General features: G+C 41.4%; 1 long non-coding RNA gene across 1 annotated transcript, besides 1 other annotated feature; it reads right to left on the reverse strand.

The window, feature by feature from the left end:
- Nucleotides 1-10,116: 10,116 nt before the first annotated feature.
- LINC01186 (long intergenic non-protein coding RNA 1186) lies at nt 10,117-11,867 on the reverse strand. Its single transcript, NR_110388.1, has 2 exons — nt 11,744-11,867; nt 10,117-10,647 (listed from the first exon to the last, which is right to left on the reverse strand). It is a non-coding gene; the product is annotated as a long intergenic non-protein coding RNA 1186 (long non-coding RNA).
- Nucleotides 11,139-12,338: an enhancer, noted in NCBI's record as "BRD4-independent group 4 enhancer chrX:46186381-46187580 (GRCh37/hg19 assembly coordinates)". NCBI's record gives its function as "activates an origin of replication core promoter dependent on BRD2, P300/CBP, MED14 and CDK7 cofactors, and independent of BRD4, by STARR-seq in HCT116 cells {active_cell/tissue: HCT116}" and the evidence as "EXISTENCE:reporter gene assay evidence [ECO:0000049][PMID:35650434]".

Here is a 16,397-nt window from a genome sequence, read left to right on the forward strand (position 1 = left end):
AAAGCTTCATGAAGGGTCACATGTGGTAGGTGCTACAGATTAACCACACAGCTAACACCGATGTCTCCATTTGTGAAACACCTTGCTCAATTGACTCCATCGTTCTTGGTATATCAGGCAGCCCTTGGTTCTCCCTCTTTCTGTAGACAATGGAGGCTATTTCTCCACAAAAGCCTTTGTTCACATTCCAGGGCTCTGCCCCGTGCCAGAATCCACTGTGTAGGCTCTGGCATGGGGTTTGATGTCATCAACAAGTTGATGAACCTCATGAAAATGCTCCCTTATCAGGCTAGTATCCTGACACACCTTGGGAAGGGAAGGGGTACAAGAACATGTCCTTTCAAATGTATTTGTATTTTTCTAAAGTACTTGTTATAAATGCACCAAAATGTCAGTGGATATAGCTGTCATAAAATATTCTTAAGACTCAGAGTAATAAATCATGGATATGTAGAAACAGAAGAAGTGCCTGTATAGTGTCTTCAAATAATCAAGGCCAAAATCACATGTTTCCTTAAATACCACACACTCGATGGTTGTATATCATAGGTACCAAGTTTTACTTAATTATTGGAATGGTACAAAGATTCTGGAGTCAGACTACCTAGTTCAGTCTACAGCTCTTCTGCAACTGCTTATGTGACCTTGGACAAGCTTCTTGGCTTTTTAGCTTTTTTTTTTTTTTTTTTTGGAAACAGGGTCTTGCTCTGTCACCCAGGCTGGAGTGCAGTGGCTCAATCACAGCTCACTGCAGCCTCAAATTCCCAGGCTCATGTTATCCTATCAACTCAGCCTCCTGAATAGCTTGGAACTACAGGCATATGGAACCATACTCGGCTAATTTTTTAAACATTTTTTTGTAGAAACACGGTCTCACTATGTTGTCCAGGTTGGCCTCAGACTACTGGGCTCTAGCCATCCTCCTGCCTCAGCCTCCCAAACTGCTGGGATTACAGGCATAAACCACTGCACCTGGCCCTTTTTCAGCTTTAGTCTCCTCATCTGCACTTACTTCATAGGGTTGTGAGGATTAAGCAGGGTTAAGCGCACAGCACCTGGCATATAGAGTAAGATGCAGTACAATGTATCTTGGTAAATAAATATAAAGCCAGAGGGCTGTGAGAGCAAAGAGGAGTCTCAGACACTTCTGAAAGGTTTCCTACAAGATTTGCTGGAATCTCCATGGTGGGGGGAAAAGAGAAACCTGGGACCAGAAGGACCAATAAAAGAAAGGTAGAGAGACAGCTAGGAAAAGCATTATGGAAGCACTTCCTCACTAGACGGTGAGCATGAGGAAGGTGGTGAGCATGAGGAAGGTGGTAAGCAGGCGTGATTTACATCTGTATCTCCTGAGCCCATCTGAGTGCCTAAGTATAGTGAAATTAAGTAGAAATCTATTGAACTAAAAGGATCTGGAAGCCTCCCAGAACTGGAATCAATGCAAAGGAAAACAGAACAATTCTCTTCCTGATCACCAGGCTGAGGCTGGGAACAGTTAGTCACAATCACAGGTATTGTTAGGGTCATTTATGAGGTGAGTCATAAGTAATTTGTTAACAATAACAAAGCGTGGAAGTGTCCCAATGATGTGCTCCTTCACAGATTAGAGCAGATTCAAGGTTATCACTATAGCAATGATGTAGCCCAATATGCTTTGTTGAGTGAGTTTGCTCCTGAGAGTGTGTTGCACACATTTGCATACTGATTGCAATGTAGATCAAGGCAAACAAGAAAAAATAAAAACAAATGAAAGTCAACTGATTCAGGCTAGAGAAGTATTGGACCTCTTCTGATTTTCACTGTGAGCGAGAAGTCAGTTCGCTGGCTCCATCTTTCCTCCCATGACCCACAGTAGGAACAGATCGGGGGAGGAGGGCAATGCTGCCTTTATTTATAGGAAGCAGCAGAGAAATCCTTTTTAAATGATTTATTTTAATAATGTAAAAAGTGAAACCATATAATTTGTATTTTCTTAGCACTTTGTGGATTATAAATATTCTCACATGCCTTATCACTTAGATGATCAGTTTGGCTTATGTGAAAGACCTGCAGTTGAAGGCTGACTTAGCAAGGATGTCATCTAAATGGGATCTGAGGGTTGGAGTCTTTATCCATGGAATACAAACCAGCCTGTGTTAGGAATTATGTAATCCATACTTTCCCAAAAGCACACCTCACACCCAATGCATCTTTAAAAAAAAAAAAAGGTTGGAAGTGAAGGGGATCAGGATATGCCACCATAAAATATGCTATTTCGGCATAAGGATTATTTTGAGCTGAAAGCAATTGAGAATCAACTGGTGCTGCAAAAGTTCTCTGCCTCCCTTTTGTCTGCATAAAAGTAGGGCATAAATTTATCATGAAAAAGGTGCCCTCCCTTTATCAGGAAGAGAAGCATAACTCTTATCACTGAAGATGGGGAGTTGATGCTGAGATCAGTCTGCATAAACAGAATTTACTAAAATAATCCTTCTCTTCTATTAGTTCCCCCCATATATTTCCTAGTGACTTTCCCACAATTTATCACCCCTAGAAGCTCCAACTCTCTTTGCTTTTTCTAGCCACTTTCTCACAATTTATTGCCCTTCATAAAAATGATATATAAGCCCTCATTATAACCACTTCTTTGAGACTTCTTTTCTGCGAACAGTCATGTACATAAAAATACTAAATAAAAACTGTACCTTTTCTCCCGCTAATTTGTCTTTTGTCAGTTTAATTTGCAAGTCCCAGGTATTGAACCTAAGACGATAAAGGAAACGTTTTTTCTTCCACAACAGAAGGAAGGGATGGAGGAAGGAAAGGACTGAGGGAGAGAGGGAGGGAGCAAAGGAGGAAGGGAGCGAGGGAGGGAGGGAGAGAGGAAGGAAGGAAGGAAGGAAGGAAGGAAGGAAGGAAGGAAGGAAGGAAGGAAGGAAGGAAGGAAGGAAAATGTTTTTCTTTTATTTGTCTGACACTCAAGCAACTTTGGGATTGTATCTCTTGGCTTCCAGTTTGTCCTCCAGTCTCACAAGGCAGATAATAGCAGGAAGGCCTAGATGCTGACCATGGAAACCTGAAATACATAGTTGAGGGCATATCACTTTCTCTCCAGAACCAAAGCCTTTACCCTGTTCTCCCACAAAGCCTCCTAGAGTCCACATCAGCCCCACATCAGCACTCAGTAGAGACTGGCTCTAAATCTCTCATCACCGTGGGTTGTCACACCTAGATAAGTCCTGTGATTTAAACAGTGACCTTTTCAAATGGCTTTGCCACTTAATTACACAGACTGTACACTTATGAGTAAAAAGAAACATACCTCCACGTACAATCACTGAGACAGACAAGGTAGAATTCTTTATTTATTATTATTTCAGGATTTTGATGTGATTGTTTGGTATCTGCTAGACTCAATGGACATGTAACTTCACAACTGAAGACTTCTTTTACTTCATTTCACACCCCGCAACATGCCAGTTATTTTTCTAAAATACAAATCTTTTTATGTCATTCACCAACTCAAAATTCTTCGGTGGTTAATTCCCCCATTGTCTATAGAGAAAAATTATAATTCTTTAGCTTGACATACAAATCCCTTTCAATATTTGAATCCTGCCAAATTTGTAGCCACAACTACCAATAGTCTACTCCTCCCCATCCCCCACAATAACATATTAACTCCAGTCATATCATATTAGTTCTGATTCCCTGAAAAACACCATGATTTTAAGGTAGAAGTCTTTATTCCCATTTTAGTGAATGTGATTCACTCCAATACCTTCATCCCCTAACAGGACTGTAAACATCTTGAGGCCTTTGATCATGTCTTTTTGCATTCTTTGCAATGCCTTGGCTAGAGCTAGACACATAATGACAAATGTTAAATGGTTACCTATAGAAACATTGGCCTCCCTTGGTTTTATTAAATTCTTGCTACCAAGTTTTTGGTGCTGTTATTGTTTTTTTGGGCTATTTCTCTGCCTGAGTGCTATCCTTCTATGAGGACACCCCAAATGGAAGTATACTATGGGTAACTATTTTAAAAATAAACAAATCAGCAAAGTAAAACCCAGGCAGGCTGAAGCCAAATGTATCACTTCTTGCACATGCTAATGGGTGGCATGGGGCACCGTTTGCAAGAGACAGTTACAAAGTTCTAACTTACTTATCTAGTAATGTATTTACAATGAATCCTTTGTAGCAACAGATCAAAGAACAGCATTTATTAACCTATATCTGTATTTGATTGTACAGCAAATTAGCACAAACACACACCCAGAGATCAGCTTCAATTTCCTCATGCAACACTGGCTCTCTAAAGAGAAATAAATTTTCTGACCCAGAACAAAGTTTTGGAAAGACAAATTTTTGAAAAACAAGCATTTATAACGGCATTTATAATGTTAATGGGGTTCAACTTGAAAAATTACCCAATTGGCTCATGAGAAAACATACTTCTTTAATAAACTGCTATGAGTGGGAGTGGGCAGGAGTTGGGGAGAGAAACAGTGGAAGTAGTGAGAGCATGATAAGTGAAGCAAAGAAGAAGACGTGTGTGTGTGTGTGTGTGTGTGTGTGTGTGTGTGTGTGTGTGTGTGTGTGTAGACCTGTACACAAAACCTCCATTATTTTTATGCTTTCATTTCTACACAGCCAGATAATGTCAGGTAAAAGTATAACTTATGACTCAGTCAGAGCAATGCTTTTGCTTTGATATATCGATGTTGGCTGAGTCAAGTAAGGGTGGAGATGGCAAGAGAAAGATAATAAGTAGCAAATATATGTGTTCAGCGGAAAGACAAAGCTCTCACTTTGAAGAGCTGAGTTCAGAGGTTTCAAAGGGCACACAGGAAATGCTCCAACAGCATAAACTGGGCCCCAAGCGCCATTCCAGCCAACTTTCAGCCCTCCACATGGCTTTATCTGATCTCATGATTCTCTGTCTCCAGAACCAAAGTACCCACAAAGAAGAATGGCTTTGTGATAAAAATCAGATCAGGGCTTCGATCACTTTTATGATCACTAGAGACCTGGAGGTATAGAGATGAGAAGGTAAAAGGCAGACAGTCAGACTATGGTGGGTTCCCCTGAGTTATGGGGAAAGTTATAAATTATTTACTAAGGCACACACAGTGCCTGTTTTTATGACGAATATAATAGCCTGAATACCAAAAGAAAAACTAAATTGAGCTCTGAATCAGGTCTGAAAAACATTACAAACCCATCTCTATCTTTCAAAACTATATACAAGACAGCATTTTGGTAATTTGATGTATGTAAACTGAGCCTCAGTTACCCACTTGGGCCAAAAAAGGAGAAAAACAGGCATTTAGGGCTTGCCGTTTTCCTCTTTGAGGTTAAAAAAAAGTCACCAATATGAAGTAATTAGAAATTAAGTCCAGGAGACCAAATTATGAGTTCTACTATTTTCCCAACATAAAACGCCATCCGCAGAGCAGAAAGATGAAATTTCATAGAAAGTCTTCAAAGAGGAAAAGCAATGGTCTTTTCCCTCTGCTACTCTGTAGTTTGTCCTCATCTTGTGGGAATTGGGGCCCATGGTTAGGAGAAAAGAGTGTGTACTTTCAGTATAATAGCAAAACAGTTACAGTCAAAGACATTGTGTGGGAGAAGAGTATATGCTAGATTTACATCAGATTTGAGAATCAGGTACCACTGGTTAACATGGAAGGTTTCACAGAAAATTGTTTATGTCAGAGGAGATGGTGCCCAAGATTTCAAACATCTGGCTATATAAACATCCATGGGGAATCAGTATAGACATCACAGATAATTCATGGGAGGTAGTTTGTACTCATAATTGGATATTTTCACAAATGTTTTCTTAAGAAAAACCATAGAAAATGAAGTTGGCCTTAGAATAACTGAACACTCTGATAAGCAATATACCCCCAGAAATGTTCCAGACTTTTGCTGCTTTACTCCTATCTCTTTAACAAGTGGAAAAACTCTTCTTCTTTACAACCTATGTCTGTATCTGGTACTGCAACACTCAAAATATCCACTTTATTGAGAGGCTACTGATCATAAAGAAAGAAAAAAAATGTAGATAGCAATGCTGTGGTTTATCACATGCTGCACAGAACCAATGTGAACTTCCCTTTTTTGATTCATAGAATTCTATGTATTCATAAAATTCAAACAATAAACATGGCTCCTCTAATGATTTCTCTCTTTGCTTGATTTCACTGGGAGACTAGCCTAGTGCCTCCCTCTGATAGCTCAGGAGTCCCTGGGCCTCTGTTATCAGCCTTTGGACTTGGATTAGAGAAGTTATTTTCTTTAATTGATCATGAATTTACAGTCAATGGTATATAGTCACTCTGTCTAAGCAGTTCTGTGAGTGGAGGGCAGGAAAAATAAATTTTCAGAATAATCGGAACGTCTGAATCCAGGAAATTTTCCTGGACTGCTGGGACTTAGTAAGGCAGCAATGTAAAGGTAAAAAGCAGTGGCCCTCAAGGCAGCAAACCTTGGATGCATGGCCATGAGGGTCTTACTTGCTATCTCTCAGAAGAAGCAGCATGCTAGAGCGGCCTCTAAGAAGAGCTCAAATCTCTGCTCTTCTAGCACAATGCTAAATCATGTGTTTCATAGAAATGGGGATGGGAGTGGGTGAGTGGGTGCAAATCCACTAACTTTTCTTGAGCAGTCAAAGTCAAGCAAGCACTGCTAATGGTGGTGATTGCATCTGGATCAATGTAGGGGAGGAAAAATATCCTTTTCTCTACCTATCCTAGGTTTATGGCCTGTAACAAAAAGCAGCTTAATCAGAAAACCATACAGGTTTATTTCAAATAAGTTTTACGTGACATGAGAGCCTTCATAAGGAAATGAAGACCAAAGAAACAGGTACATTTGAGTGTTTTTATTCTAGGTTTGATGAAGAATGAACAGTCATGGAGAAATATGATAGGACAAAGAATATTATCTAATGGTAATAAATGGGGCAGGGACTTAACGAGGCCTGTTTGTTTGAATTTTTCTCTGTGTTCCTCCATTTTCAGAGATAAGGATGCTTTTTCCTTCCCTGTAGGTCTAAGGAGGGCATCTGTCAGATGAGGGTCATATAACCTACTTTAGGGGAAGGTCAGTGTATTAGTTGGTTTTCATGCTGCTGATAAAGGCATACCTGGACTGGGCAATTTATAAAAGAAAGAGGTTTAATGGACTTACAGTTCCACGTGGCTGGGGAGGCCTCACAATCATGTTGGAAAACAAGGAGGAGCAAGTCACATCCTACGTGGATGGTGGCAGGCAAAGAGAGAGAATGAGAGCCAAGCAAAACGGGCTTCCCCTTATCAAACCATCAGATCTCATGAGACTCATTCACTATCACAAGAACAGTGCAGGAAAGACTCGCCCCCATAATTCAATCACCTCCCACTGGGTTCCTCCCATGACATGTGGGAATTGTGGGAGTTACAATTCAAGATGAGATTTGGGTGGAGACACAGCCAAACCGTCTCAGTCAGAGAGTCCTTCCTAGGTTTTATAATCCACTTCAGGGGAGAAGTATGGGGAAAGGTAAGACCAATGGTCCAGTTTCTGCTATTTTCTTCAATATGACAAGATGCCATCTTTTGGAGTAGTGTGTCCTGAACCCCATCGCCTATGTGGCAACAGATTTCATCTTTCCTTTGCAGAGGATACAGAAAAACAGGACACAGAAGCTAACAAGAAACTCCCAGGAACTCGAGGCACAGGGGCAGGTTCATGTCACAATACTCTTTCTCTCCATCTTTTCCTCTCCTTCAGCCATTTTTCGGGACCTAAGATGCTAAACTTAGGGTCCTTCTTTCTCAGGCCTTTCCAGGAGTTCTTCCTCATCCTTGGCTCCCATCTCCCCTTCTGACTCCTCTGGGCCCCTGAGTCCTCTACTCAGTTGGAGGAAGTTGGCTTTATCTGCCATGGCCTCTGCATCTCTAGGCCATGCTAGAAGCCCACTATATAACCATCCAATAAGTTCTTCTTGCCTGCTTCCCAGATGAAGCTAATTTATCAAGACAGGGTTATTGCAATAGAAAAAGAGTTTAATACAAGAAGAGCCAGCTAAATGGGAGACCAGAGTTTTATTATTACTCAAACGAGCCTCTCTGAAAATGTGGAGGCTAGGTTGTTTTTTTTTTTCCTTGAGACAGAGTCTTGCTCTGTTATCCAGGCTGGAGTGCAGTGGAGTGATCTCGGCTCACTGTAACCTCCGCCTCTGGGTTCAAGCAATTCTCTGCCTCAACCTCCCAAGTAGCTGGGATTACAGGTGCCTGCCACCATGCCCGGCTAATTTTTTTTGTATTTTTAGTAGAGACAGGGTTTCACCATCTTAGCCAGGCTGGTCTTGAACTCCTGACCTCGTGATCCACCCACCTCAGACTCCCAAAGTGCTGGGATTGCAGGTGTGAGCCACTGCGCCCAGCCAGGTTTTTTAAAAGATAGTTTGGTGGGCAAGGGGCTAGGAAATGGTCCTGCTGATTGGTTGGGGATGCTATCATAGGAGTGTGGAAAATAGTCCTCATGCACTGAGTCCACTTCTGGGTGTGGGCCACAAGGCCAGCTGAGTCATGAGTTGGTGTCTCCAGTCTAGATGGGGCCATTGGATCATCTGAAATGCAAAAATCTGAAAAGACATCTCAAAAGGCCAATGTTAGGTTCTACAATAGTGATGTTATTTACAGGAGTAATTGCGGAAGTTGCAAACCTTGTGGCCTCCAGAATAATGGCCGGTAATCATTTATGCCTACATCTTAGTGGAATTCAGGCCCCAATCATCCTCCCAACCTGGTGGCCTTTCATTAGTTTTACAAAGACAGTTTAGTTTTGGGGAGGGCTATTATCATTTAAATTATAAATTTCTCCCAAAGTTAGCTTGGCCCATGCCTTGATCAAGGGCAATTTGGAGGTTAAAGGCAAGATAGAGTTGGTTGGATCAGACCTCTTTCACTGTCATAATTTTCTGACTGTTATAATTTTTGCAAAGGCAGTTTCAACTTCAGTTGCTGAAGCTTGCAAATAAAACTGATAAAAGGCAGATTAACAGAAAAAAAACAGATTTAAGTATGTGCATACGCACAGGAGTTCACAAAGAAATGTGACTCAAGGAAGCAGTTAGAATTTGGGGTTATATACTATCTTAGGCTAGACAAAAGCAAAGTGATCTGGGGCTTCTGGGGAGGAGATAAATTATAGGAAGGTGAATAGGAAATGTACAGGAAATAAGGGTCATTTAGTAAGGTTTGTTATGTGGATAAGAGACATCCTGGGTGCTAAGAGTTGCCTCCAGAGTAGTTTTCTTGCTGGTACAGGAGAGGGAGACACCTTTACAAATGGAAATTTGTAAATTTTCAAAAGGAAATTTATGTCCTACTTTTAGACAGAAAAGGGGAAGGCAGAGAGCTAATTGCTTTCAAATCAAAACAATCCTTATGCCAAAGTGGTATATTTTGGGGTGGCAGATTCTGGTCCCCTTCACTATCTCACTGTCTGTCTGGTGGATAAATACGTGTTGAGTGGCAGACTAACAGAAGAGTCTACATGTACCACAACCCCTCGTAGGTAAGAGCTTTCAGCTCAGTGGCAGCTGTGCCATGTCCATTTAACCAAGCTTGGCAGCAAGTCTTAAGGACTAGTCACAAAAAGAAAGTGCAAAGGGGCACAGCTTCTCTTTGGAGAGTGCCAAGATACCATCAATCTCTGCCCCAGCCCAGGGGAGGCTGGAAAAAGTGCCTCAAGCACTAAGGGGGCGGGGAGCAGGGGCAAAGTGGGTAATGAGTCAGAAAGGAATGTCTGTGAACCCACACCCGCATACCTGAGTGCCAATGTGAAGAAAACCCAGAGTAAATTCCTTTACACAGACTAGGGTCTCACATGCACTTCTGAGGGTAGTTTTTCCGTATAAGAATCTGCCCTGTGCTTTACAGAACAGTGAGTCACTTACTTGCTTTTGGATGGAACGCTGCAGAGTGTGCTGTCATTGTGATATCTTTTTTTCCCTCATGCATTCTCAGCATTGCCAGCCTTGGCTTTGCTCATTAGATAAATAATAGAGTAAAATTCATGCAGTGGCCCCACAATCACTACTCCAGGGAGAAATGGAGGCGGGGAGGGGAGATGGTGGTCCATAAAGACCTGGGCTAGTGAATTTGGTGTTTTTGTTTGTTGGTCTTTAAATAAATGAACTTAAAATAAGATTTTCCAAATTTGAAAATAGATGCCTTATAGAGTAGATTTCTTATGCAACAATATAAAAATAAGAAATTAAATCTGGGAACGAGACTTAATTCTCCAACATGATTTTGTTTTGAAGTTCAGCCTCTTCAATGAGATGCAGGTATGGGGGAAGGGCTCCATTTAAAGAGCCCAAATTCCTATCTGTTACTTCAGATATCAGGTCAGATTAGTACTTTTAGAAAGTTTAACAGACCCCTTTGATGCAACAGGAAAGAAAAACAAGCTCTCTAAGCAGGAAAATTCAGGACATCCTTTTTCTTAGTTTTACGTGATGCAGTGAGTCACTTAGAGACTCTCAGGAAAATAAGCCCAGGATGGCCATCAAGATTAGGGAACATACTGGCCCAAACAGCTGCAGAGCAAGTAGCTTCTCTGTCCCTGGTTCCCATCCTCCTAGTGTTTTCTCTTTAGGGCCAAGTGCTGTAAGAGAGAAAAGAACAAGATGACAAGGTCAAGACAGCCTCTTTGTAATCCTTCTCAAATCACCGAGAAACAAATCAACCACGATTGTATGCATTTTGATGTGACAGGGAAATAAAGTAAGGTAGAATATTGTGGAGGTTTGGGGGGCAACTTTGACCAAAGATTCTCAAGTTCATCTCACTCTCTTGGGTTAAAAAAGCATGTGAAGCCAGAAGTTTGAGACCAGCCTGACCAACATGGAGAAACCCCATCTCCACTAAAAATACAAAAATTAGCCGGGCGTGGTGGCACATGCCTGTAACCCCAGCTACTTGGGAGGCCAAGGCAAGAGAATTGCTTGAACCCGGGAGGCAGAGGTTGCAGTGAGCCGAGATCGCGCCACTGCACTCCAGCCTGGGTGACAGAGTGAAACATTGTCTCAAAAAAAAAAAAAATTCAGAAAGCAAAATTTCTTGCCCCTGTAAATTCACACTTCAATAGAAAACTATTGCCTGTAGTACGTGCTTTCAGGCGTTATCTGATTCTGATTCTACTGGAGCTATTTGCCACTCCCTAAGTTGTAGGTCACTGATAGATATGCAAATCCTGTCCTATCTGGTTCAATTGACTTCCTTCCCCCTGTGTGTGTGGCGGCGGGGGCGGGGTGGGGGGCAATAAACAGTTTGCTTCCATTTGCAATTCATCTCTAAATTCCTTTACTCCACATAAATTGGGGCTGTTTCTTTTTTAAACCAGTTATAACATCTGCCTGGCTCTCTCAGTTATGTAAGTAAAATAAAGTCTTTAACACATGTTCGTTTTTATATCTGTATAACGGTCACGATTTTACCTCTTTCTGGAAATTACCTTTTAACACCCTTGTGAGATTTCTTTCTTAGGTAGCAGCAGCAGGAGACCTGGTGGAGGACCTTCAGTCTAGAGAAGACCAGTACCAGGCCATCCGGTCTATAGGTAAAGAGCAGATGCCTCCCACAGAGCTGTGCTCCACAGAAGAAACAAAGGGGCTCTTCGAAAGGGACATGTCCCTTCTCCCACCTGCCTCCCTTCCAACCTCCCAAATTAACACCACCATCTAAAACAAGAATTTGGTCACCTTTCGGAAGGCATCTTTCCCGTTTTAGAAGGGGTTACTTCTGGATCCTCTCTCAACTTGCTGGTTTCCCACGCTCTCGACTTGCAGTTTCACCCAGTGGGCAGGGCTGGGTTTCTGTTAGCCTGGCTGCAACCTCCTGCGCCCTGCCAACACACAATGATCAGTGGCATTCCTGGAATTCCTGACATAGCAGAGAAGCCAGGCTTGGCCCTGCAAATGCCCTTGAACTGCAGTTCTGACCCCAGTGGGGCATTTTATCTTTTATTCACAGCCAGAGGTTAGGACCTATTTATGTAAATCCTCTGCCAAGGGTCGATTCATCTTGACCCCCTGGTTTTCATTTCTCTAATTGTCCCAGGTATTTTTTAGACCCCTTGGAAACTCTTCATTCAGTGAAAAACCTTGGGGTCAGTAAGAATGCGGTAACAAAGGAAAGGGGGTGGGGGCCTGGAAGAGTTGAGGAGGCTTCCTTTGAAGTGTTGTAAAGAAGCTTTCAGAGGCCACCCAGTTTACAAAGTAAAAACAGCAATGACCTCATGCACCCCATTTTATTCACGGAAAATAAGCTTTCTTGAAATGGTGTCTTCACCTAAGAAGTTTCTTAGAGCATGCATTGTTCAATTTTGTTTCCTAAAGCACACATTGTCCAATCTCAGTGGTGGTAAGGGGTTGGGGAAGGAGCTGTCAGAATTGCGGGCCTTTGGGCAGGTGGTGGCTCCTCAGACAATTGTTCCCACTTAATGGGCCCAGGATCCCTCCCAGATTTGCATTTTAAAAGGGGGCACTGCCTCCCCAATAGTGAGAAAATACTTGATCCCTGAGAATTGACCCAGGTGACAGAAATTTCAGGCCACATGGAAAGCCAGCAGGGGAGATACTTGGAGGTCAGCAGGGCTTTTGGAGGCCTTCAAATAATTCTTGATTGAGGGCCTTGTGCTCTAACCTCCAACTCACAGTAATAAAGGGAAGGAATTGCTTGGAAAACAGCCCAACTGTTTTACAACCCTAACAGCAAATTTTACTTTTTCACTAACTGAATTTTCATGTACGTTTTAAGCCAGTTGGATTTTTTTAATGCTCTATTTTCAATAGAAAGATGGGGGAAAAAAATCTTCTCTTAAAAAACTATTTTTCTTCATTTTCTGTCAACTTTTTATTACGAAAAACTTCAAACATGCAGAAAAGTTGAAAGAATAGCACAATGAAAACCCCTATACCCACCATTGAAATTTGACAAATGTTAACCTTCTGGTATATTTGCTTTATCTATATACACAGCTATATATACAGATTTGCTTCATGAATATATACTTTTTTTTTTGCTGATCTATTTAAAAGTAAATTAAATTAAAAGTGACATCATGACACTTCATCCCAAATACTTCAGCTTGCATCATTCTAATATAAGTTAATTCTCTTATATAACTATTGTACAATGATTACCTCTAAGAAAATCGACAGTAATTGCCTAATACCACCTAACTCTCAGAATACCCAGTCCACATTCAAATCTCCTCAACCTGTACTATGTCTTGTAGCAGTTTCTTAATTAAACCAAAATCCAATCACAATTCATACATTTGGTTTTTTTAGTCTTTTTGGAATAGTCCCTCTACTTTTTAAAAATGACATTGTGTTTTTGAAGAGACTTTGTAGAAAGCCCCACATTCTAGATTTGTCTGATCAATTGTGTGTGGTGGTGTTCTTGTTCTGCCCCACCAGATTTCCTGCAATGAGTTCAATTGTGTTTGTCCCCCAAAATTCATATGTTGAAGCCCTAACCGCCAGTACCTCAGAATGTGACTTTATTTGGAAATAGTCACTGTAGACATAATTGGTTAAGATGAGGTCATACCAGAGTAGGGTAATAGGGTGGGTCCCTAATCCAATATGACTAGTGTCCTTATAAAAAGGGGAAATTTGGAGATAGACATGCACATATAAGGGGAATGCCCTGTGGACATGAAGGCAGGGATCAGAGTGACACTTCTACATGTCAAGGAATGTGAAAGATTGCTAGCAAACTACCAGAAACTAGAAGCAAGTGAAGGGGGCCAGAATATGCCACCCCCAAACATGTCACTCAAAAAGGATGGTTTTGAGCTGAAGGCAATTAGCTCTCTGCCCTTCCTGCTTCTGACTAAAAGCAGGACATAAATTTCCAGTTGTAAGGTGTCTCCCTCTCCTGTACTAGGAAAACTCTTAGCACCTGAGATGTCTCCTATCTAAATAGCAAGACAATCCTTATTTACCATACATTTCCCATAACTTACCACCCTCCAAAAAGCCCAAAACCTCCTTTCCTTTTGTCTAGTTTAGGATGGTATGTAAGCCCCAAATTCTAACGCTTCCTTGAGTCACCCTCATTTGTTAACTTTTGTGTGTATGTATATAATTAAATCTATCTTTTTCTCAGGGTAACCTGTCTTCTTTTTTTTATGAAAAAAAAATTTATATAGATGGGGTCTTGCTATTTTGCCTAGCCTGAGTAACCACCCAACTGGTTCATCTTGCCTGCTGCCCAGATGCAGTTCATTTATCAAGACAAGGGAATTGCAATAGAGAAAGAGTTTAATAGTTTAATACACAGAGAGCTGGCTAAACACGAGACTAGAGTTTAATTATTACTCAAATCAGCCTCCCCCAAAACTCAGAGGCTAGGCTTTTTTAAAGATAGTTTGGCGGGCAAAAGGCTTGGAAATGGAGAATGCTGATTGGTCGGCTCATGGATGAAATCACAGGGAGTCGGAGCTTGTATTCTTGCACTGAGTCAGTTCCTGGGTGTGAGCCACAAGAGCAGAGGACCCAGTTTACCAGTCCGGGTGGCACCAGCTAATCCATCAGAATGCAGGGTCTGAAAAATACCTCAAACACCAATCTTTGGTTTTACAATAGTGATGTTATCCATAGGAGCAATTGAGAAAGTTAGGAATCTTGTGGGCTCTAGCTACATGACTCTTGAGCCATAATTTCTAATCTTGTGGCTAAATTGTTAGTTTTATAAACATGATCTGGTCCCCAAGCAAGGAGGGAGTTTGTTTCAGGGAGGGACTGTTATCATCTTTGTTTCAAAGTTAAACTATAGACTAAATTCCTCCCAAAGTTAGTTTGACTTATGCCCAGGAAGGAACAAGGGCAGCTTGGAGCTTAAAGGGAAAATGGAGTCAGTTTGGTCAGATCTCTTTTACTGTCTCACTTTATAATCTTTGCAAAGGCAGTTTCAGCTGGTCTTGAACTTCTGAACTCCCGCCCCAGCCTCCCAAGTAGCTGGGATTACAGGTGCACACCACTACACATACCCAGCTCAGTAAACTGTTTTTTGTCACTTTAATTCACAGGGCTACGAGCCATTGAGCCACTCCCCAAGAAGAGGTCTACAAGAGTTCATTCTCTCACAGGCTTCAAAAGGAACCAACCCCACCAGCACCTTAATCTCAGACTTCCAGCCTCTAGAACTGTGAGACAATAAATTTCTCCTGTTTATTCCACACAGTTTGTGGTACTTTGTTTCAGCAGTCCTGGCAAGCTGAGACACCTGTAAACTGGATGTTAGGTCTAGAGGCATAATTAGATTCAGGTTAAACATTTTTGGCAAGAATACTACATAGGTTATGTTGTGTAGTTCATATTGCATCACCTCAGGAGGCACATAACACCAGGCTGTCTCACTATAAGTGATGTCAAGTGTAATCACTGGGTTAAGGTAATGAGAACCAAGCTAAATTCTTCCCTTTGCAATTAAAAAGTAACATGAGGCCACATGTGGTGGCTCATGCCTATAATCCCAGCACTTTGGGGGATGGAGGCAGGAGGATCCCTTGAGGCCATGAGTTCAAGACCAACCTGGGTATCATGTGAGCCCCTGTCTCTACAAAAATTTTAAAAATTAGAAAAAGAGTAACTTGAGGGCTGGTACATTGGAACTACATAAGTATGCTGCCTCCACCAGTCTGTCCTCCAATTATGTTAGCAGTCATTGATGATCCTTGCCTGAATTGATTCTTTTATTGGAAAATGGGAAAATGATGATATTGTATAAATTTGTTTGTAATTGTTACCTGACATTCCTCTATAAAGAAGAATCAAATAGGGATTAACTAAAAAGTCAGGGTAAATGCCTAAATCTTTCCCTTAGTTATAAAATTTCAGGAAAAAAAGAAGTTGATATAATTGTCATCATTGATCACTAGTGAGTTTTCACTTGTTTATCATAATATATTCATGGTTTTAATTTACTCAGTGATTATAAGCAATTATGATCATTATTCTTCTTGATGCTCAATTGTCCCAAATTTGGCCAAGGAGAGAGCCCCTTTAACCTGACTCCTGAGTCCTTTTGACACAATCCCACTGGTCTTTTGGTGCTTTCCTATATCCTGGCACAAGAAGTCCCAGCCTCACCTTGTACTTTGCCTGTGCCAAGACAGGAATCCACCATTTTTCCAAGAAGCACTGCTTTTTTTTTTTAATTAGGAAATGGTATTTAGAAACCAAGATCTGGTTTCAAGGTATGCTTATTGCTACTGGGATACCATTGCTTCTAGGCCACAGCAGTGCACAGCACTAGGAAATGTGAAGGACTAGCTTTATTGGTGTACTTGTGTACTCCTGCTCAGAAGGGCCTGGTGCTTGGGGTTTAATGCTCTGTAATCAC

Source organism: Homo sapiens, chromosome X (assembly GCF_000001405.40).
Source record: "Homo sapiens chromosome X, GRCh38.p14 Primary Assembly".
In the NCBI taxonomy this organism is placed as follows: Eukaryota; Metazoa; Chordata; class Mammalia; order Primates; family Hominidae; genus Homo; species Homo sapiens.